At 35.0% G+C, this 24,646-nt stretch overlaps 1 protein-coding gene across 15 annotated transcripts in view; it reads left to right on the forward strand.

Annotated features, from left to right (window-relative positions):
• The window catches only part of PCDH11X (protocadherin 11 X-linked), an 843,856-nt gene that overhangs the window by 33,993 nt on the left and 785,217 nt on the right, over positions 1-24,646 (forward strand). For all 15 annotated transcript variants that reach the window (XM_011530911.3, NM_032968.5, XM_011530910.1 and 12 more), the window contains one exon: positions 22,094-22,677. In XM_011530911.3, the coding sequence (XP_011529213.1) occupies positions 22,094-22,677 (584 nt within the window). Of the gene's footprint in view, positions 1-22,093; positions 22,678-24,646 lie in introns of those variants that run through there.

Here is a 24,646-nt window from a genome sequence, read left to right on the forward strand (position 1 = left end):
CAAATTTTCCCCATGTGATGCTAATCTGAAAATTTCTTAGAGGAAATGAGTTTTGAATTGCTCTGAAGTAGATGATGACCTTTGATGACCAGAGAAGATGTGGAAAATATTATGGCTAGAGAGTAGATGTTGGCTCGGCTGAAGAGGAGAGGTCATGGATTATAAATTAAAGAGAAAGATATTTCTTAGAAGCAGCTAATTGAGGACCTTGAATGCTAGGCCTCAGAGTTTAGATTCTATAGATTTCGAAAGGTAATAAACATAGTTTTTTTGCTTTCAGTTTTTGTTGTTGTTGTTATCGGTTTGGTTTGGTTGTTATATATAATGTTTATCAAAATAATGAATACTTATTTTTCAACACCATAAAAACGTGGAAGTAGACCACAAAAAAAGTACTGGTTGGATAGATAATATATTTGGAAATGCTTTGTTTTAAAAAAACCCTTTTCTTCTGAATAAAAATAGAGAGGAGAAGCAGTTCTTACGTGAAATCTCTCTTTAACAGTTCCTCTTGAAAATTAGCAGCTGTACTTAGTGAAAAATTATGAAGGTGCAATGTTGTTGTCAGCTGTAACAGGTTTTAATTATCTTTTTTATTTTAAAGTCATCAAATTTAGAGATGTCAAATTTTTATTATTTTCAGGACAAAATCATGATGCCATAGTTCACATATTTTAGTTGCAAATACTGTTTCAAAATGCACTTGATTTTGTGAGGTGTTTGCTTTAATATTTTCAACACAGTGCTGGATTACAGAGTTTCAAGATATATTGCACGTATCCAATTAAAATAACTCCCCACTTTCCCTAATTTATACTTGTTCTTTAAAAATTTAAATATTAATTAAAATCTTCTAATAAGTTAACATGTTCCCTGTTTTATCAAAAACATTCATTGTTCAGTTTAAGCGTTTGAAAACCAATCATAATATCTATAGATAAATGTCACTGGGATGTGTCTTTCTCAAAAATGTTATGAAGGGTTATAAAATTTTGAAAAAAAATTTTATTACCAAAATATTACCAAACATACCTTGAAAGCTGAATATAATCATTCGTCTTTTAAAATAAGCTTTTTAATCTAAATTACATGAAAAAAAATTTGTTGCCAAGCTGGGAACAATTATAAAATCACTAACTACCTAAAACAGAGCACACAGTCTTTAAACCTTATAAACATAATTTTAAATCTGAAGATTATATGAAATATTCATTTGATGAAAAGACATTTTGACTTCGCATGTGGAATTGTGATGTAAGATCTTTTAAAGCTGTAGCATTGCTCATAATTGAGATCCATTATGCAAATGATTATGTATTTATGATTAAACCTTCTTTCAATCACAGATGGCTAGAACAAGAAAAGATCTTAGAGATAAATCCCAACGCTACTCACCCTCAGTGAGTAAAATGAGGCACAGAATGACTAAATGACTTGTCCAAAGTCACAGATACCTAAAGGCATAGTTAATACTAGAATTCAAGTCCAGTTAGTTTTTCCCACAGGATTAGACTTGTCTTTGTGAGTGCAGGATATACAAATACCTTTGTTTATTATTTTTTTTTAGTTTATAATAACAATATCAACAATTACAAACACATGTAACATTAATGTTCCAGGAACTGTTCTAAGTACTTTACATATATTAACTCATTTAGTGCACAATAACACTATAAGGTAGACACAATTGTTAACCCTGTTTTACACAAAGATACAGAGAATTTAAATAACTTGCATAAAGTCACACAGCTAGTGAGTGGTGGATCTTGGATTTATTATAAAACAAGACCATCTAACTCCATAGCTCATGCTAGGACTTCTTTAAAAAATTTAAATTTTTTAATGCCAGGATAGTTTATATTTGGATATAAAAACATTTTATGACTTTACTTTTTCAGTAGGGTATAAAAACATTTTTTAGTATTGGAAATTAATGACTGTCTCAATTTCCATATCATATACATTTTGCAATAGCTTTAAATGAATGGTCTTGCTACAATGGATGTGAAGCCCTGAATGGTTTATCTGAAATCATCAATATTGTTCATTAAGACAATTGCAAAAAAATGATCTCTATGGAGTCTTTCAGTTCATTCTATGTATGAAAAAATTTTTCATTTATTTTTAAAACTAGAAAATCAAACCGAAAGTATATTTAAATAATGTCTCTATGAAATGTCTTCTGTGAGAATGGTAAAATGAGCTATCAACTAATTATTTTTTCATATACTTGGTAATGACTATGTGAACAAAATTGATTTTGCATTTTCTCATTAATGTGGCACACAACACAGAAATAAAAGTCCTATTTTTTTCTAGCTTGTTTTAGTCTGTGGGCTTAATTGCTAGTTTGAAAGTAATATTAGGTAATATCTTACTCTGTAAGAAAGCATATTTTGACATGTTGACGTGTTAATATATTGACACATGGGAAAGGAATAAGTAAATGTAAATGAAAACTAATTAAGCAACATTATATAGTGGATATGGGAAAGGTAAAAAAATATCCCAGCACTTTGGGAGGCCAAGGTGGGTGGATCACCTGAGGTCAGGAGTTTGAGACCAGCCTGGCCAACATGGTGAAGCCCCGTCTCTACCAAAAATACAAAAATTAGCTGGGCATGATGGTGGGTGCCTGTAATCCCAGCTACTTGGTAGGCTGAGGCAGGAGAATCACTTGAACCCGGGAGGCGGAGGTTGCAGTGAGCCAAGATTGCACCACTGCACTCCAGCCTGGGTAATAGAGCAAGACTCAGTCCCCACACCCCCCCAAAAAAAATCTCCAATACGCAAAATGCCTATATAAGTTTGTTTTATGTATAATTATGTAATAAATTCTGAAAATTATCATAAAATTAAAATATTAGAATATAAGATCTTCCATACATTGCCCCAATTTGTTTATTCCGTTCAAATAGAATGGAAAGACAAATTAAAATGGAGAAGGGCTGACTCATAAGAAATAGCAATGAATTCCTTTTCTTTTCATTTTTTAGGGAAGAAAGGGATTGGGAACAAGACTATATGTTGTATAGGGAACATTGAAGGATTCTATTTCCATTTCAGTGCTTAATGGCTTTTACTAGTTATTTAACTTTTTTCTCTACGTTTTTAAAACTCTCAGAGTCTGTGGCTTCATTAAATATTATTTCTTTATAAAACATATATGATAATACGAAAAGTGTTAAATCGGTGGTATTCATTAAGACTGTATCCAGCACTGTGGAGAACTTGGAGGTCAAGGGAAAGTCTGCACAAAAGTAGAAATATGAGGAAATTTGTGAACTGTGTTAGCCAATGTATATTAGTGCTCTGAGCATATATTTAAGGAAGGATGAGGCAATGTGGACTGAGGGACATTGGAGATGGATTAAGAGTGAAAGGGTAATTGGCTATGTTAGAAAACAGTGGCTTGCATTGCATGATTCTGTATCACAGGTACTTATTTATAGTGTGCATGCATTTCTGATATTGCATAAAGCAAGACAGTGATGAAGTTACATAGTTGTCTATTAGGATATTTGCCCTATACCCTTCAGTTTTCTGTTTGAGGTTTTTGAAGGATTCATGATTTCTATCATGCATCATATTCTTCATACTATCTGTATAAGGATTATGATGGTGATAAATGAGAAGAACATGGTGAGTATTCCAAACTCCTATCGACCCTACCCAATATACTAAAGATTATCAAGTGGAGAGTTATTTTGGTATATTACCACTTCATAATTTTTATGTCTCAGATACAGTACATTTATTTATATAGCATATCACATAGGTTTTATTGGGATCATATAATGTTTTATGAAATAATTCTATTTTAAGATGCTATTTACTCATAACTATAAAACTGTGCATTTTTGTTCTCTCAGAGGATCTGGAACAGTGTGATTTCTAACTTAAAATGAGGGGAGATTTGATTGTTTCTTCTTGAGTTAACAAGTTACCAATATCTTAAAAATATTCACTGCCTAATAGTTTCAAAATTTAGAATCATAAAATACTACTCATTCCTAAATGATTCAAGAATACATTTTACTGTACTATTTAATTTTATACCTTTTTTGTCCCCTGCCTATGAATTGGATATTCTAGCCATCATTTCACTGTCCTGGGTGCAGGCATAGTTGAAGGTTACTGACCTTCTGATCTAGATTAGTACTGTCCAACAGAACTTTCTGTCGTAATAGAAATATTCTAAAATCTGTGCTGTCCAGTGCTTAAGTCCTTAGCCTTATTGGACAATTGAGCACTTAAAATGTGCTTAGTACAACTAAGGGATTGAATTTTTAATCTGACTTAAATTTAATTTTAACAGCTACACACAGCAAGAGGTACTATATTGGACTGCACAGCTCTAGATGCTTATAGTCTAAATATAACTATTGTATGGAAAAGAGAGTTCTTTTTTCAAGGCATAATCAATCACCTTCGTTTCTAATTTTGTTCTTGTGCTATCTATAAATCAAGTCCTGATGCAAAGTAATTTCATCATGAAGAGCACTGGTCTTTATTTTCCAGGGTTGACAGGTTATATAAAGAATTAATGTACCCTGTGATCGCAATTTCCTAGAGTGAGTGCCAGTTTTAGCAAGTGTAAAATAGTTGTGTTTGTTGTAGCTTCTTCTATGATATCTATTAAGGAGTTGGATATCTCTGAAAAGAAAATATAAAATATTTCAGCATTTCTAATATTTTCTGGAATAGGAAAATATTTTACATTTATCAGCTATAAAGAAATCATAATTTAAAATGAAATACTGGCCATTTTCACATATTTTGTACTCTGTGACAAACTGAAATCATTACAGAGTATGTTATAATTCTAAAAACCAAAAAGTCTCCCAAGTAATAGGAGCCTCTAGTACCTAATCAAAAGAATGGTGTCTTTATTTTCTTTTTTCGTAATCTCTTTTTCTAAACCAATGTGAGATCAAATTACGTTTTTTATAAGCAGTGCAATAGCTAAATAAAAATAACAATAACCGCAAATGCATGAAGAATTTTTTTTTTTATCTGAATGTATTACTCACTTAAAACTGCATTGGTGGACTGGGCACGATGGCTCACGCCTGTAATCCCAGCACTTTGGGAGGCTGAGGCCGGTGGATCATGAGGTCAGGAGATCAAAACCATCCTGGCTAATATGGTGAAACCCCATCTCTACTAAAAAAAAAAATACAAAAAATTAGCCGGGCATGGTGGCACAAGCCTGTAGTCCCAGCTACTCGGGAGGCTGAGGCAGGAGAATCTCTTGAACCTGGGAGGTTGCAGTGAGCCAAAATCGCACCACTGCACTCCAGCCTGGGTGACAGAGCGAGACTCTATCTCAAAAAAAAAAAAAATGTATTGGTATGGAAGGCAATGAAAGTTCTATTTTGGGGCTGCCTTAATGTGAGATTAACCCTGATCACACCACTTGCATTTCAACTATTGTTTAGTATGATGGCATTTCAATTGGCAGTTTTCCTTACAGTGATCTGTCTACACATGCACGCACATAAATGCACACAAGGGCATATGTTCACAGTGAAACACAAAGATTATTATTTTAAACATACAAATAAAGCATCTCATGAATATTTCTCAATTACAAGTTGGCTAGTGTTTGTTAGTCCAGCAAGCAATACTGTATCCAACTCTGTACAGGCAGAACTTGTATATTCTTGATTTCCCATTTGATGGTTACTTAGAATTGTTTTGAGGTTAATGCACTTCTTGATTTATAAATAAAAGTGGGGTTGCATTTCATTCTTCTTCCAATATACTATTATATTACCCCTTTGAAGGCTTGTTCTTTACTTGTGGTGAGAAGGCATGGAATATGCTGAATGAAGGCTAATGATAAATCATTTTTCATTTCTTAATGAGTTGGAGTGGGGTTTGTGGTTGTCCTAAGTGAGAAACAGAAAAAAAAATTTAAAGAAGAGGAATCTAAAAATATTGTGAAAACATGTAGGATTAGTTAAATTAATTTAAATATTTTACTTACTAATAGTTTGAAAAACTGATTTCCTAAGAACCACTTAGTATAATTTGTAGTGAAAATAACTACAGGTGAAGATCATGCATAAAATATACTCTTACCAGAAAATTTTAGGTTTTTGAATAAAATGGAATTCATAAAATAATGAATACTCCAAGTTATTATAAATCACTCCGATTATTTCTTGAAGTCTTTGCTGGTTGTTGTAGTCATATATTCTTGGAGGAAAAGGTTTAAAACAAAAGAATTGGTGACCCGAATCTCCAGCAAGCATTTCTTTTTTTTTTTCCTTTCTTTTTTTTATTTTTATTTTTATTTTTATTTTTTATTATTATACTTTAAGTTTTAGGGTACATGTGCACATTGTGCAGGTTAGTTACATACGTATACATGTGCCATGCTGGTGTGCTGCACCCACTAACTCGTCATCTAGCATTAGGTATATCTCCCAATGCTATCCCTCCCCCCTCCCCCAACCCCACAACAGTCCCCAGAGTGTGATGTTCCCCTTCCTGTGTCCATGTGATCTCATTGTTCAGTTCCCACCTATGAGTGAGAATATGTGGTGTTTGGTTTTTTGTTCTTGCGATAGTTTACTGAGAATGATGATTTCCAATTTCATCCATGTCCCTACAAAGGACATGAACTCATCATATTTTATGGCTGCATAGTATTCCATGGTGTATATGTGCCACATTTTCTTAATCCAGTCTATCATTGTTGGACATTTGGGTTGGTTCCAAGTCTTTGCTATTGTGAATAATGCCACAATAAACATACGTGTGCATGTGTCTTTATAGCAGCATGATTTATAATCCTTTGGGTATATACCCAGTAATGGGATGGCTGGGTCAAATGGTATTTCTAGTTCTAGATCCCTGAGGAATCGCCACACTGACTTCCACAATGGTTGAACTAGTTTACAGTCCCACCAACAGTGTAAAAGTGTTCCTATTTCTCCACATCCTCTCCAGCACCTGTTCTTTCCTGACTTTTTAATGATTGCCATTCTAACTGGTGTGAGATGGTATCTCATTGTGGTTTTGATTTGCATTTCTCTGATGGCCAGTGATGATGAGCATTTTTTCATGTGTTTTTTGGCTGCATAAATGTCTTCTTTTGAGAAGTGTCTGTTCATGTCCTTTGCCCACTTTTTGATGGGGTTGTTTGTTTTTTTCTTGTAAATTTGTTTGAGTTCATCGTAGATTCTGGATATTAGCCCTTTGTCAGATGAGTAGGTTGCGAAAATTTTCTCCCATGTTGTAGGTTGCCTGTTCACTCTGATGGTAGTTTCTTTTGCTGTGCAGAAGCACTTTAGTTTAATTAGATCCCATTTGTCAATTTTGTCTTTTGTTGCCATTGCTTTTGGTGTTTTAGACATGAAGTCCTTGCCCATGCCTATGTCCTGAATGGTAATGCCTAGGCTTTCTTCTAGCGTTTTTATGGTTTTAGGTCTAACGTTTAAGTCTTTAATCCATCTTGAATTGATTTTTATATAAGGTGTAAGGAAGGGATCCAGTTTCAGCTTTCTACATATGGCTAGCCAGTTTTCCCAGCACCATTTATTAGATAGGGAATCCTTTCCCCATTGCTTGTTTTTCTCAAGTTTGTCAAAGATCAGATAGTCGTAGATATGCGGCGTTATTTCTGAGGGCTCTGTTCTGTTCCATTGATCTATATCTCTGTTTTGGTACCAGTACCATGCTGTTTTGGTTACTGTAGCCTTGTAGTATAGTTTGAAGTCTGGTAGTGTGATGCCTCCAGCTTTGTTCTTTTGGCTTAGGATTGACTTGGCGATGCGGGCTCTTTTTTGGTTCCATATGAACTTTATAGTAGTTTTTTCCAATTCTGTGAAGAAAGGCATTGGTAGCTTGATGGGGATGGCATTGAATCTGTAAGTTACCTTGGGCAGTATGGCCATTTTCACGATATTGATTCTTCCTACCCATGAGCATGGAATGTTCTTCCATTTGTTTGTATCCTCTTTTATTTCATTGAGCAGTGGTTTGTAGTTCTCCTTGAAGAGGTCCTTCACATCCCTTGTAAGTTGGATTCCTAGGTATTTTATTCTCTGTGAAGCAATTGTGAATGGGAGTTCACTCATCATTTGGCTCTCTATTTGTCTGTTGTTGGTGTATAAGAATGCTTGTGATTTTTGTACATTGATTTTGTATCCTGAGACTTTGCTGAAGTTGTTTATCAGCTTAAGGAGATTTTGGGCTGAGACAATGGGGTTTTCTAGATATACAATCATGTCATCTGCAAACAGGGACAATTTGACTTCCTCTTTTCCTAATTGAATACCCTTTATTTCCTTCTCCTGCCTAATTGGCCTGGCCAGAACTTCCAACACTATGTTGAATAGGAGTGGTGAGAGAGGGCATCCCTGTCTTGTGCCCGTTTTCAAAGGGAATGCTTCCAGTTTTTGCCCATTCAGTATGATATTGGCTGTGGGTTTGTCATAGATAGCTCTTATTATTTTGAAATACGTCCCATCAATACCTAATTTATTGAGAGTTTTTAGCATGAAGGGTTGTTGAATTTTGTCAAAGGCCTTTTCTGCATCTATTGAGATAATCATGTGGTTTTTGTCTTTGGCTCTGTTTATATGCTGGATTACATTTATTGATTTGAGTATATTGAACCAGCCTTGCATCCCAGGGATGAAGCCCACTTGATCATGGTGGATAAGCTTTTTGATGTGCTGCTGGATTTGTTTTGCCACTATTTTATTGAGGATTTTTGCATCAATGTTCATCAAGGATATTGGTCTAAAATTCTCTTTTTTGGTTGTGTCTCTGCCAGGCTTTGGTATCAGAATGATGCTGGCCTCATAAAATGAGCTAGGGAGGATTCTCTCTTTCTCTATTGATTGGAATAGTTTCAGAAGGAATGGTACCAGTTCCTCCTTGTACCTCTGGTAGAATTCGGCTGTGAATCCATCTGGTCCTGGACTCTTTTTGGTTGGTAAGCTATTGATTATTGCCACAATTTCAGATCCTGTTATTGGTCTATTCAGAGATTCAACTTCTTCCTGGTTTAGTCTTGGGAGAGTGTATGTGTCAAGGAATTTATCCATTTCTTCTAGATTTTCTAGTTTATTTGCGCAGAGGTGTTTATAGTATTCTCTGATGGTAGTTTGTATTCCTGTGGATCGGTGGTGATATCCCCTTTATCATTTTTTATTGCGTCTATTTGATTCTTCTCTCTTTTTTTCTTTATTAGTCTTGCTAGCAGTCTATCAATTTTGTTGATCCTTTCAAAAAACCAGCTCCTGGATTCATTAATTTTTTGAAGGGTTTTTTGTGTCTCTATTTCCTTCAGTTCTGCTCTGATTTTAGTTATTTCTTGCCTTCTGCTAGCTTTTGAATGTGTTTGCTCTTGCTTTTCTAGTTCTTTTAATTATGATACTAGGGTGTCAATTTTGGATCTTTCCTGCTTTCTCTTGTGGGCATTTAGTGCTATAAATTTCCCTCTACACACTGCTTTGAATGCATCCCAGAGATTCTGGTACGTTGTGTCTTTGTTCTCATTGGTTTCAAAGAACATCTTTATTTCTGCCTTGATTTCGTTATGTACCCAGTAGTCATTCAGGAGCAGGTTGTTCAGTTTCCATGTAGTTGAGCGGTTTTGAGTGAGTTTCTTAATCCTGAGTTCTAGTTTGATTGCACTGTGGTCTGAGAGATAGTTTGTTATAATTTCTGTTCTTTTACATTTGCTGAGGAGAGCTTTACTTCCAAGTATGTGGTCAATTTTGGAATAGGTGTGGTGTGGTGCTGAAAAAAATGTATATTCTGTTGATTTGGAGTGGAGAGTTCTGTAGATGTCTATTAGGTCCGCTTGGTGCAGAGCTGAGTTCAATTCCTGGGTATCCTTGTTGACTTTCTGTCTAGTTGATCTGTCTAATGTTGACAGTGGGGTGTTAAAGTCTCCCATTATTAATGTGTCGGAGTCTAAGTCTCTTTGTAGGTCACTCAGGACTTGCTTTATGAATCTGGGTGCTCCTGTATTGGGTGCATATATATTTAGGATAGTTAGCTCTTCTTGTTGAATTGATCCCTTTACCATTATGGAATGGCCTTCTTTGTCTCTTTTGATCTTTGTTGGTTTAAAGTCTGTTTTATCAGAGACTAGGATTGCAATCCCTGCCTTTTTTTGTTTTCCATTTGCTTGGTAGATCTTCCTCTATCCTTTTATTTTGAGCCTATGTGTGTCTCTGCACGTGGGATGGGCTTCCTGAATACAGCACACTGATGGATCTTGACTCTTTATCCAATTTGCCAGTCTGTGTCTTTTAATTGGAGCATTTAGTCCATTTACATTTAAAGTTAATAGTATTATGTGTGAATTTGATCCTGTCATTATGATGTTAGCTGGTTATTTTGCTTGTTAGTTGATGCAGTTTTTTTCTAGTCTCGATAGTCTTTACATTTTGGCATGATTTTGCAGTGGCTGGTACCGGTTGTTCCTTTCCATATTTAGCGCTTCCTTCAGCAGCTCTTTTAGGGCAGGCCTGGTGGTGACAAAATCTCTCAGCATTTGCTTGTCTGTAAAGTATTTTATTTCTCCTTCACTTATGAAGCTTAGTTTGGCTGGATATGAAATTCTGGGTTGAAAATTCTTTCCTTTAAGAATGTTGAATATTGGCCCCCACTCTCTTCTGGCTTGTAGGGTTTCTGCCGAGAGATCCGCTGTTAGTCTGATGGGCTTCCCTATGAGGGTGACCCGACCTTTCTCTCTGGCTGCCCTTAACATTTTTTCCTTCATTTCAACTTTGATGAATCTGACAATTATGTGTCTTGGAGTTGCTCTTCTCGAGGAGTATCTTTGTGGCGTTCTCTGTATTTCCTGAATTTGAATGTTGGCCTACCTTGCTAGATTGGGGAAGTTCTCCTGGATAATATCCTGCAGAGTGTTTTCCAACTTGGTTCCATTCTCCCCATCACTTTCAGGTACACCAATCAGACGTAGATTTGGTCTTTTCACATAGTCCCATATTTCTTGGAGGCTTTGCTTGTTTCTTTTTATTCTTTTTTCTCTAAACTTCCCTTCTCACTTCATTTCATTCATTTCATCTTCCATCGCTGATACCCTTTCTTCCAGTTGATCGCATCGGCTCCTGAGGCTTCTGCATTCTTCACGTATTTCTTGAGCCTTGGTTTTCAGCTCCATCAGCTCCTTTAAGCACTTCTCTGTATTGGTTATTCTAGTTATACATTCTTCTAAATTTTTTTCAAAGTTTTCAACTTCTTTGCCTTTGGTTTGAATGTCCTCCTGTAGCTCAGAGTAATTTGATCGTCTGAAGCCATCTTCTCTCAGCTCGTCAAAGTCATTCTCTGTTCAGCTTTGTTCCGTTGCTGGTGAAGAGCTGTGTTCTTTTGGAGGAGGAGAGGCGCTCTGCTTTTTAGAATTTCCAGTTTTTCTGTTCTGTTTTTTCCCCATCTTTGTGGTTTTATCTACTTTTGGTCTTTGATGATGGTGATGTACAGATGGGTTTTTGGTGTGGATGTCCTTTCTGTTTGTTAGTTTTCCTTCTAACAGACAGGACCCTCAGCTGCAGGTCTGTCGGAGTACCCTGCAGTGTGAGGTGTCAGTGTGCCCCTGCTGGGGGGTGCCTCCCAGTTAGGCTGCTCGGGGGTCAGGGGTCAGGGACCCACTTGAGGAGGCAGTCTGCGTGTTCTCAGATCTCCAACTGCATACTGGGAGAACCACTGCTCTCTTCAAAGCTGTCAGACAGGGACATTTAAGTCTGCAGAGGTTACTGCTGTCTTTTTGTTTGTCTGTGCCCTGCCCCCAGAGGTGGAGCCTACAGAGGCAAGCAGGCCTCCTTGAGCTGTGGTGGGCTCCACCCAGTTGGAGCTTCCGGGCTGCTTTGTTTACCTAAGGAAGCCTGGGCAATGGCGGGTGCCCCTCCCCCAGCCTCGCTGCCACCTTGCAGTTTGATCTCAGACTGCTGTGCTAGCAATCAGCGAGACTCCGTGGGCGTAGGACCTTCCGAGCCAGGTGCAGGATATAATCTCGTGGTGCGCCGTTTTTTAAGCCCGTCGGAAAAGCACAGTATTCGGGTGGGATTGACCCGATTTTCCAGGTGCCGTCCGTCACCCCTTTCTTTGATTAGGAAAGGGAACTCCCTGACCCCTTGCACTTTCCAAGTGAGGCAATGCCTCGCCCTGCTTCAGCTCGCGCACGGTGCGCGCACCCACTGACCTGCGCCCACTGTGTGGCACTCCCTAGTGAGATGAACCCAGTACCTCAGATGGAAATGCAGAAATCACCTGTCTTCTGCGTCGCTCAGGCTGGGAGCTGTAGACCGGAGCTGTTCCTATTCGGCCATCTTGGCTCCTCCCTCCAGCAAGCATTTCTTAAGCACTTACTGTGTATTTGGTACAGTGCCCATGAACTGCTCAGTTAAATATAATGTCTTAAAATTGTTGGTATATATTTGGAATGATTCATTTGCTTTGAGTTGAGATTCATAATATAAAATATTATGGATCTATACAGTTGTTTACATTTAAAACTGATATTTATAGAGAATAAATTTTATATCTAAATTGTTATTTTTGAAGAGCTCAATCTTTGTGTATTACGTAGGGAGTTGTCTTGAGAAACGTCTAATTTTTACCGCTCATCTTTTTGCACTTTCAAATATACTAATACTTTTGAAGCAGGACCCAACAGGCCTTCTCTAAAATTAAGTTTTCTCACATGTAGCAAGGTTATTTTGAATGCCCAAATTGAAGTTTAAATGGTTAATATTACATTTATATTTGGAGTTAAAATGTATTAAGACACAGTTGAAATAGTAACTCATTGTAAGTATGAAGAATATTGCTAAATAGAGAAAACATTTTCTTATGTATTTACCTAGATGAAAGAGAAAGGAAAAATTATACAAACACTATCATTTATACCTTATCTTTGTAAGAACATCTTGTAAATACATTTGAATTTTCTCTTATAGATGCTATTCCTTCCTGAAAACCAGGCTGAACCCAGTACATGCTTTTATAGTGAAGTAAAGAACACACAAGAAGTAGGGTTTATTTTAACTTATAAATGCAAATTCCATTTTACTTATTTTTTAATGGGAAAAATATTTACTTTATTTCTTTAACTTTTATTTTAGGTTCAGGTATGCATGTGCGGGTTTGTTATATAGGTAAACTCATGCCACAGGAGTTTGCTATACAAATTATTTCATCACCCAGGTACTAAGACTAGTATGCAATTTTTTTTTTCTGCTCTTCTCCCTCCTCCCACGCTCCATGCTCAATTAGTCCCTAGAGTCTGTTGTTCCTTTTTTTGTGTCTATCAGTTCTCATCATTTACATCCCACTTAAAAATGAGAACATTCAATATTTGGTTTTCTGTTCCTGCATTAGTTTGCTGAGGATAATGGCCTCCAGTTCCATCCATGGTCTTGCAAAGGACATGATCTCCTTAGTTTTTATTGCTGCATAGTATTCCATGATGTATATGTACCACATTTTCTTTATTCAGTCTGTTATTGATGGACATTTAGGTTGATTCTATGTATTTACTATTGTGAATAGTGCTGCAGTGAACATTTGTGTGCATGTGTCTTTATGGTAAAATGATTTATATTCCTCTGGGTAGTTACCCAGTAATGGGATTACTGGTCAAATGGTAGTTCTAGTTTTACCTCTTTGAGGAATCACTATGCTGCTTCCCACTATAGTTGAACTAATTTACACTCCCACCAACATTGTAAAAGTATTCTCTTTTGTCTGCAACCTCGCCAGCATATGTTATTTTTGACTTGTTAATAGTAGCCATTCTGACTAGTGTGAGATGATATCTCATTGAGATTTTGATTTGCATTTCTCTAATGATCAGTGATATTGAGCTTTTTTTCATATGCTTGCTGGCCACATGTAAGTCTTCTTTTGAAAAGTGTCTCCTCATGTCCTTTGCCTACTTGTTCATGGGGTTGTTTTTTTCTTGTAAACTTAAGTTCCTTATAAATGCTGGATATTAGACCTTTGTCAGATGCATAGTTAGCAAATATTTTCTCCCATTCTGTAGACTGTCTGTTTACTCTGTTGATGGTTTGTTTTGCTCTGCAGAAGCTCTTAAATTTAATTAGATCCCATTTGTCAATTTTGCTTTTGTTGTGATTGTTTTTGGCATGTTCATCATGAAATCTTTGCCACTTCCTTTGTCCAGGATGGAATTCCCTAGGTTGTCTTCCAAGGTTTTATAGTTTTGGGTTTTATGGATATTTAATTCATTTTGAGTTGACTTTTGTACATGGTGTAAGAAAGGGGTCCAGTTTCAATTGTCTGCACATGGCTACCCAGATGTCCCAGCCCGATTTGTTGTGTAAGGAGTCTTTTCCCTATTGCTTGTTTTCTTCAGCTTTGTGGATGATCACGTGGTTATAGGTGTGTGGCCTTATATCTGGGCTCTCTATTCTGTTCTATTCGTCTATGTGTCTGTTTCTGCACCAGTACCGTTACTGTAGCCCTGTAGTATAGTTTGAAGTCAGGTAATGTGATGCCTCATGTTTCGTTCTTTTTGCTTAGGATTGCCTTGACTATTTGGGGTCTTTTTTTGTTCCATATGAATTTTAACATAGTTTTTTTCTACTTCTGTGAAGAGTGTCATTGGTAGTTTCATATGAATAACAATCTGTAAATTGTTTTGGGTAGTATCCCATTTTAATGGTATTTATTCTTTCTATCCATGAAGTAGTGTTTGATTATACTTATTAATGCAAATTCCATTTTAAAAGGCAGAATTCTTTTTTTTTTTTTTTTTGAGATGGAGTCTCGCTCTGTCACCCAGGCTGGAGTGCAGTGGAGCGATCTCAGCTCACTGCAAGCTCCGCCTCCCGGGTTCACGCCATTCTCCTGCCTCAGCCTCCCGCATAGCTGGGACTACAGGCGCCCGCCACCACGCCCGGCTAATTTTTTGTATTTTTTAGTAGAGACGGGGTTTCACCATGTTAGCCAGAATGGTCTCGATCTCCTGACCTCGTGATCCGCCCGCTTCGGCCAAAAGGCAGAATTCTTTATCATTTTTTCTACTCTAAGTGTATCACAACTGAAGATTCGAAATATGGCTTGTGGGTGTCACATTTATGGTTCAGTTGTTTTTCTATTCATTTATTAATTAATGTTGTCATTTTTAATTGGTTATCCATTTTTTTGGTTTTGAGGTGACACAAAACAAAAATCACAGAAATAATATTAAAATATGTGTAAAAAACTGAGAACTAAAAGGAGAAGGAATATTGTTGAACCTTTAGGCTGAGGCATCTGTTATTAGGCAGTTGATAAACCAAGTCGTAAGATTGGTTTTAAAAGGTTGCTATGTCATTTTTGCTTAGCGTTCTAAGATGTGTAGTTACTGATTATGGATTGTGCAACTCCAAAGTCGTCTTAATAGGAAGAGCTTCATTGTCTCACGGGGTGAATGAATGCAACTATTAAAGTCATTTCTCTGTTCCTTGGAACAATAAGTTGATGGATATAATTCATTTTCTGACGACTAATATCTTACCTTGATTTGTTTTACAGACCATCAACTTGGATCTTGTTTTTAGCCATCACTTCCAAGATTCTAGTGCTATATCTCATTTGCTTTCAACTGTTGATTTTACTGCATTGTAATTTGATAATTTAGACCCCAACACAAAAAATAAATTAAGTCATGCTAGAATATGCACCATACGTATATAGGGGAGTAATCTGATAAAGTGCTTTGTGCAGATATTGCAATTAGTACTGAAGTTTGGGGAGGTGTGCAATCAATAGTAAAATATTAATTGGTCTTTCTACATAGATAATTTAAACACTAATATGATAGATATATTACTACCTGTTTTCCTGTACTGTTTTATTAATTCATGGAATAGTGACTAATAGAAGTATTATTTAGCCTTATATATAAAACTCATAGATATAATACTGTTTTGTGTACTGTTTTATTAATTCATGGAATAGTGACTAATGGAAGTACTACTTATCCTTATATATAAAACTCAAAATAGGCTTTTCAACAAATACCCAGTGAAGACACAAATATATATATTACACACACACACACACACACACACACACACCCACAATTATATATATATGAAGAAACCACATTTGTTAACAAATGACTAAAATTGTCATGCCTGAACCCTCCATTATTGAACATCACCTCTCCATACCCCTTGATCTCTTTAATTTTGTGATGCTATACCACCTCCATAATTTCACCCACGAATAATAGATTCCAAGCCCATCACTTTCTGTTTCTTTCTCTTTTCTTTTGCAAACACTTTTCCTTTACACGAGGGACCTTTGGTTACCTTCTTAAAATGTGATCATCTAGAGAATTTACAGAATGTGAAATTAATGCCTATTTGATAAAAAATATTTAATATATAAAGCAATGCCTACAGATATGTATATATATCACATAGTTGTTATACAGATTAAATGAAATAACTGATTTGAAATCACATAGAGCAATTCAAATACTACACCAAGTGGAAATTATCCTTTGAACTTTGATGAATTTAGGACTTATTTATTATGATAATCTGGTACTTGTTGACAAAGTACAGTAAAATAATTATTAGATACTGAAACAAGCAATATTACATTCACCCTGAGGCAATAGAAGAATGTGTGATGATAGACAAACGTTATATTTTTGCCATGAAGAATGAGTCTCTTGCTTGATTATTCTGTAAAGCCATGTTTCAAATGTTCCCTAAATCATATATCAAAAATCCAGAAAAATTAATATAGAAGAGCAACCTTTAGAATTTGTCTTATTAAGTGCTATTTGAGCTTGATTATTATCAGATTTTGAAACCCTGTTAGAGAACACCACACTAACTGTTGTTGGAATGCTAGAATGAATCAGCAAACAATAAACAATTTGGAGAAGGAAGCAGCATTGATGGAATCCACTTCTCAGAGAAGTTTAGACCCAAATGTGAAAAATTAGACATGTACAATAAGCACAGTAAGCAAGCTGTTTGTGGAATAAAATTTAACAAACCAGTCTTATAATTACTGTGCCTTATTAAATTTTTTATTTTGACATCTCAAGTTTCAGAATACACAGGAAATAATTACATAAAATTGGACAGCCAATGCCCTTGCCCGCCTCTGCTTGCTGTGGTCAGTTCCTCTGAAAATACTAGGTTTATCGGTTGCTCCAATTTGTCTTTCTCCCAATGTGGTTACTTTTATTGCAATGTTCTAGATTCCTGTCAACCTCAAGAACTACCTTATTGTTTACCCAGGCTGTGAAAGAAGCTTTGCTTGTATTTGAGACCAAGAACACAACAGTAGTGACCACCTAATATATTATGGCTGTTAAATGGTGTATTTTTGACTTAATGAATCATTGAAATAATTGGAATGATGAGATTTAAGTGGAGTTAGGATAATGGGCAGCAGATAGATATTTCTTATCTTCATGTAATACTTAAATTTGTACTATTGTAGAAATTGTACAAAAATTGTAGCATATAAACCATTCACTCATGTGTTTGTTGTTCTAGCATATGATTCAGTAATTCACATAGAATTCATTTAAATATATTACAAATGAAACCAGCACTATAATGAAGAAAAAATTTAAAAAATATCAAGGAAATTATGCCTTGAAATTCTTCTGACAAAGCATTTGAACATTAATTGTGTGGTTTGAAATTTCTAGAATTGCATATAGTAGATGCCTAGCTCCCTTACCTACTCAGAGATGATAAAATGAACTTCCATTTTTGCTTTATACATCTTTAAATTTTCAGAGATGCTTATTTTATTTCTGCTTTTGCTTTCTCTAATTGTCATTATTGTGTCCCTCTAAATACAACTATTGCTTACCCAACTGTGATGTCTTGCTGATAAAGGGCATCACTTAAATAGCATGGGCACTACTGGAACTTGTCAAAAATTTTAGTTCTTTATATCTTCTTTTGTGTTGTTTCCTTTATCAATTTCCAAACTAACATTAATCTATAGTAGGAGTGGGTTGTAGGAGAAGGGCAAAGAAATTTAAGGTTACCTTGTCACATTTTTCATGAGACAGAAAAATTAGAATGTAATTTACATACATTAAGATACGTATGTAGGCATATTTTCCCTGGATATCTGAGTTAAATGTGCCATGCTTCCATAAGACTAAGCAGTGATTATTTATATCCGTATTTAGTAGCTAAATTTCTGTACTGTTCATTCAAAGAATTAAACTCAGCATTTTCAAAGAAAACTTAATAAATTTTAAAGATAATAAATTTTCAAGTGGCAAATGTGAGAGTTGAAATCAAAATCTGGAGATTGAGGTTACTTAAACATGCATGTTCACATCCTGGTAGAAGCAGAGATGAGTTCATTATACAGTAATTGAACACTGAATTAAAGACATACTAGAATATATTATCAAATATAAACTCTGTTTTGTTCACTGATGTACCTTCAGTGTCTAGAACTGTGCTTGACATATAAAAATTGCTTAATAAGTATTTGTTGAATAAGTGGCTAAACCTCCATGAGTTCATTTCATCTCAAACTCTTTATTAACTAGAGGGTGAATATTCCTTCTAGGTTGGCAACATATATATTCACTTAAGCTTTAGAAATGGTATTTTTTCTCAATATTTCTTCCCCGTTTTTAAAACCACTGAATGAATTTCCAGTTATGAAACACATTTTAAAATGTTTTATATGATGATGGTATTGTGGAAGACAGTGTGGCAATTCCTCAAGGATCTAGAACTAGAAATACCATTTGACCCAGCCATCCCATTACTGGGTATATACCCAAAGGATTATAAATCATGCTGCTATAAAGACACACGCACATGTATGTTTATTGTGGCACTATTCACAATAGCAAAGACTTGGAACCAACCCAAATGTCCATCAATGATAGACTGGATTAAGAAAATGTGGCACATATACACCATGGAATACTATGCAGCCATAAAAAAGGATGAGTTCATGTCCTTTTTAAGGACAAGGATGAAGCTGGAAACCATCATTCTCAGCAAACTATTGCAAGGACAGAAAACCAAACACCACATATTCTCACTCATAGGTGGGAATTGAACAATGAGAACACTTGGACACAGGGTGGGGAACATCACACATCGGGGCCTGTTGTGGGGTGGGGGGAGGGGGGAAGGGTAGCATTAGGAGATATACCTAATGTTAAATGACGAGTTAATGGGTGCAGCACACCAACATGGCACATGTATACATATGTAACAAACCTGCATGTTGTGCACATGTACCCTAGAACTTAAAGTATAATTAAAAAAATTAAAAATAAAGATAGAGTAGAACAGATTTAGAATGGATTGAGGGAGGGTGACTTCTTGGAACTAGATCGCTCTATTAATTATGTTGTGTAGAGATATTGCGACATGCATGCAATGCTTTTATTTCTTTAGTTTGCTTTATTTTGTTTTTCATTTTGGGGGGTTATCCCAGGAATTCAAGGTTGTTTTATCTTATTTTTTTTTAATTTAACTTTTATTCTGAGTTCAGGGGTACAAGTGTAGGTTTATGTAAGTAAACCTGTGTCATGGGGGTTTGTTGTACAGATTATTTCGTCACCCAGGTATTAAGCCTAGTACCCATTAATTTTTCCTGATCCTCTCCCTCCTCCCATCTTCCAACCTCCAATAGGCCCCAGTGTGTGTTGTTCCCCTGTATATGTCCATGAGTTCTCATCATTTAGCTCCCACTTATAAGTCAGAATATCCTGCAATGTTTTTAAAAACAGTCTGTAGTATTCTTCTGCCAGTTGTAATAATGTGTAATACCTAAGGGTAAGATAAGAATAGAGCGATAATTTTAATTCCAATTGTCACTGCCCCATTTTTATTTCTGCTTATGTTTGCATGACATTTATAAAATCACATAAACATCCAAAACTTCTTAGATATGCTAGATTCACAGCATATAGAATACATATATGTGTGCATATTAGCTGGTAGTATCAATGGGGTATTTTTAATCTCACCTTCATAACAGAGTATAAAACCAAAAATTCACAAGACTGAATTTTGAGCGAGTTTTTATATTATGTAATCCCAATGCACATCATTGTACAAATGATGCTAAAAATACTATACCACAGGCAACAGTGTTTTTGTGTTGTTTACTAGGATAAATAATGTCTTCAGCTCTAGCATTACTCACTATCATAACTAACATATTTTATGTATGATACCAACTGCTTAACATAGGAAAGTCATTGAATTCATAGTATATATTTTTAAAATGTTGTGATAAAAATTAATGAGATATTTTAAGTCTACTCCTGACCTAAACTATCTTGATTGTTGCAACAGATGCATTTATTTGATTATTGATTGTAAATAGGAAGATTTCTTTTTTTCCAATTTTGTGTATTCCAACATTGGCATATGCATAGTTTAAAAAATGCGGATGTGCAGCTATGCAATGGGACAGTTATTTCATATAACACATTGCTTGGCATAACCAGAGCACAATATCCATAACAAGTTATTTATATCATATGTAGTCCTCCTGTTTTTAGAACAATTACTAAAACTTGTTGATGTTATCGATTACCAATAAATATTGAGAAATTCCTTAACTGGATACCTATATGCATTAATACATTTCTGGAATGGAATTTTAAATAACCATCTGACCACTGAGTTTTCAAAACTGCTAAATACCTTAATAGTTGCATTAACCTTCATTTAATTATAAAAGTATGACATCTGATAGGCTTTAGCTCAGTGTGATACAAATTTAATTTTGTTTATATAATATATCATCTACAAATACTATCCAGAAGAAGCACATTAGAATGTTTAATTATACTAGAGATTAAAAGATATTTAATATATAAACTTGAGAATAAATAAAATAGAGAATAAGAATTGAGAATTACGAAAGGAAACTGAAGATAAAATTTGCAGATTTTAAGAAAATCAAAATTCCTCATTGAATTTTGTCAGAAGAGTTCAAGAACTGAAATAATTTTAAAGCTTTCAGTGAGTGAAAAATAATAGGGAGAAGTAGCAAGAGAGATTGATTTTTGACTCACTTTCAACTCGGTACTGTTTTTAAATGCCTTTCTTATTTTCAAGCCCTTCTCAAGCTGTTCCTTGAAGTTGTATAATTCCTGTTAGTCTATAGATGTGAAAACCCATTTTTATATGAACTACCTTCTGCGTTCTATAAACATAAATTCTCAGGGTTGGGATGTCTTCTAGTCTAACTCTCCCATTGAATGTTTGGACGTCATCTACCAAATCCATATATCTAAAGCAAATATAGTAGATCTAATCTGGTGGTCCAGTACCTCCAAAGATATGGAATACACTCCTGAAATATCCTGAAAACTTTTTTTTTTCAGAATCCTTTAATAAGCAGTTATGTCAATCTGAAAGTTGCTTACTTGTACTTTATATTAATAGCTATTCTTGTTTTTCTTATCCAAAGAAAAATCCTCTAATCCCCTTTTCACATGATAGTTGTTACCATGTTTAGGCATTAGTCACATCAACCCCTCTCCTCTCCCAAACTTCTCTTCTTCAAATCAAACTTTATTAGTCCCTCCTTTATAATGATTCCTTGCCTCGTTTTATCCAGATCAATTTTTTTTCACTTTGATGCCCAGAGCTGAAGAAATGGACTACTGTATAAATTATTCATTGCCAAGAGAATAATTGCATTTTAAACCCATATTATAACAAAGAATAATGATTATATTTTGTGATTTGTAACAAATACCCTTTATTTTCCCTTAACTATTGAATTAAATATTTTAATTATTTGTATTCTCTTTAACTATCTTGGTATATTAAAGTATTATCTTTTATATATTTATCAATGGTGGACACTTTTATAGGTACTCTGTGTCATTTTTGATACTGTAGGTATCTTATTTCATTTATCTTTATTCTTAATGTACGAATTCATAATATTTGATTCAGAACAAATTTATCACTAATTAACAGAGTGTCAATTATGCTAACATCTCATTTACTGATTTTAATTTAAAACAGTTTTTGTTAACATGCATGTTTAGGGTTGGCTTCTTAATAATTTCTTCTTCCTCTTCTCTCTCTCCTCTTCTTTTGGTCAGTGTTGTGCGGGTTAATACAACAAACTGTAACAAGTGTACCTGGTATGGACTTGTTGTCCGGGACGTACATTTTCGCGGTCCTGCTAGCATGCGTGGTGTTCCACTCTGGCGCCCAGGAGAAAAACTACACCATCCGAGAAGAAATGCCAGAAAACGTCCTGATAGGCGACTTGTTGAAAGACCTTAACTTGTCGCTGATTCCAAACAAGTCCTTGACAACTGCTATGCAGTTCAAGCTAGTGTACAAGACCGGAGATGTGCCACTGATTCGAATTGAAGAGGATACTGGTGAGATCTTCACTACTGGCGCTCGCATTGATCGTGAGAAATTATGTGCTGGTATCCCAAGGGATGAGCATTGCTTTTATGAAGTGGAGGTTGCCATTTTGCCGGATGAAATATTTAGACTGGTTAAGATACGTTTTCTGATAGAAGATATAAATGATAATGCACCATTGTTCCCAGCAACAGTTATCAACATATCAATTCCAGAGAACTCGGCTATAAACTCTAAATATACTCTCCCAGCGGCTGTTGATCCTGACGTAGGAATAAACGGAGTTCAAAACTACGAACTAATTAAGGTGCGTTTTAAAATCACTTTGTTAAAGATATCATCTCATTTTTTAAAGAGTAAAATAAAATGATATTAATGTATTTCAAATTTTGAGTAAGCCATCACCCCAATTTTTCAAAATTTATGTAATTTAAAGCATAGTGGAGAAAATTCATCAATGCAGTTTTTGCAATTACAGGTGGATTATGAATTTTCATGGTATGTATATTCATTTTCAAACAGCTGTGTTTCCATTAATCTATAAAGGGATCAGACAAGGTCAGCCCTGCTACTTACAAATCAGTAGTTTGCCCAGCTTCATTCTTTTAATCTGTCCAGTCATGCTTCTGCCAAAAACTTGATATAAGCAAATCATTAAGAATGAATCCATAAATCTGATTATCAATTTTTCCTAGTGATTACTTTAGATACACAAATTTTATCTTGCCATTTGATATGGTGCCAAATAAATCTATTTGAGAGGTGACTAGAACAATTTAATTTATTACTAGCATTTCTGAACATATATAGATAAATATTTTTCATGAGGATTTCAAGGTAAGGCAAGGTCTTTAGCATATCCTGTATCATCAAATTGAGATTAAATTTTAGTCAATATTCTGTTAATGTTAAATATTTTCATTTTTTTACAATTATTTGAAAACAGAGTGTTCATTTGTTGTAAAGGGTAAGTAAGCCTTTTAACAAAAAAGAGTCAATCAGTTAATTTGAATAACCTACTCTGGCTTGATTTGGGTCTTAGGATGGAGAAGTTAGAGAGAAGAATAGATAGAATATTTGGTATTCTTCAAAATATGTGCAGAGGGGCCACATTTATCAAGTTAATGATCAATTCTTTTAAATTACTTATATGATATAAAGAGAAATAGATAACTCAGATTTGGGTATGTGAAATAGTACAATGCACTTGAATGATCTTGGAAAATATATGTTAATGAAATAACTAATGTGCATGTTTCAGATAGATATGTTCAGGGGATTTTCACACTTTTATAAATATTCTGCCAAACTATGATCTATATAATAACTAGTGTTAAAAATATGCCCCAAAACATATAAATAAGACATTCTGATATATATCATCTGAAGGTTTTGACCTGGAGGATATATAATATGGGAAAATTTCTCAACTAATGCTGATCTATTGTAAAGATATATTTATTTATAAATTCATTCAGGAATGGAAGGCTACAAACCTCTTGAGCAAATTTCAGTGAAATGCAGATATGTTTGAGTATATGAAGTGAAAACAGAAAGAGAAGGATTTGGAAAGAAGGGAACTCTTGAATACTGTTGGTGGGAATGTAAATTAGTACAACCACTAAGGAGAACAGTTTCGAGGTTCCTCAAAAAAACTAAAATTTAGATGATTTTTAAGTGAGCACTTTGGGGTGAAGTTCCTGCAATGACATCTCCTTATCTGATGAAATGGAAAAATATTCAGGAGTCAGATAGATATGGATCACAGTTTTATGCTTACCTCTTACCAGACATGCTACTTTCAGCTTAATCTTTTTGACCTTTAATTTCTTCAGTCATAATATGAGGATGATAATTATCACAGGGGCAGAATTGGGAAGAATAAGCACTTAGTATGGAGTAGACATACCTGCATAGAAGATTTTTGAACATGCTTTAAGACATTTAAGTACTTATAGAAGTGTGAGGCTTATCACTTGACATAATAAATTGAGTAACAGAGTGGACAGTCTCTCTCTAAAGCAACACTTCACAACAGAATTTTCTGCAAGGACGGTAATCTGTGTGAGAACAATGCAGTAGCCACCAGTCACACGTAGCTGTAGAGTCCTTGAAAGTACTTAGTAGCTAGTGCTACTAAGGAACTAAATGCTTAATTAATTCCATTTTAATTTTAATAGCCACATGTGGTTAGTGGCTATCATACTGCACAGCACAGCCTAAACAAATAAAAAACGTTTATTTGGACAATACAAATTAATAGATAAAATCAAAAT

This window comes from Homo sapiens, chromosome X (assembly GCF_000001405.40).
Source record: "Homo sapiens chromosome X, GRCh38.p14 Primary Assembly".
Lineage (NCBI taxonomy): Eukaryota > Metazoa > Chordata > Mammalia > Primates > Hominidae > Homo > Homo sapiens.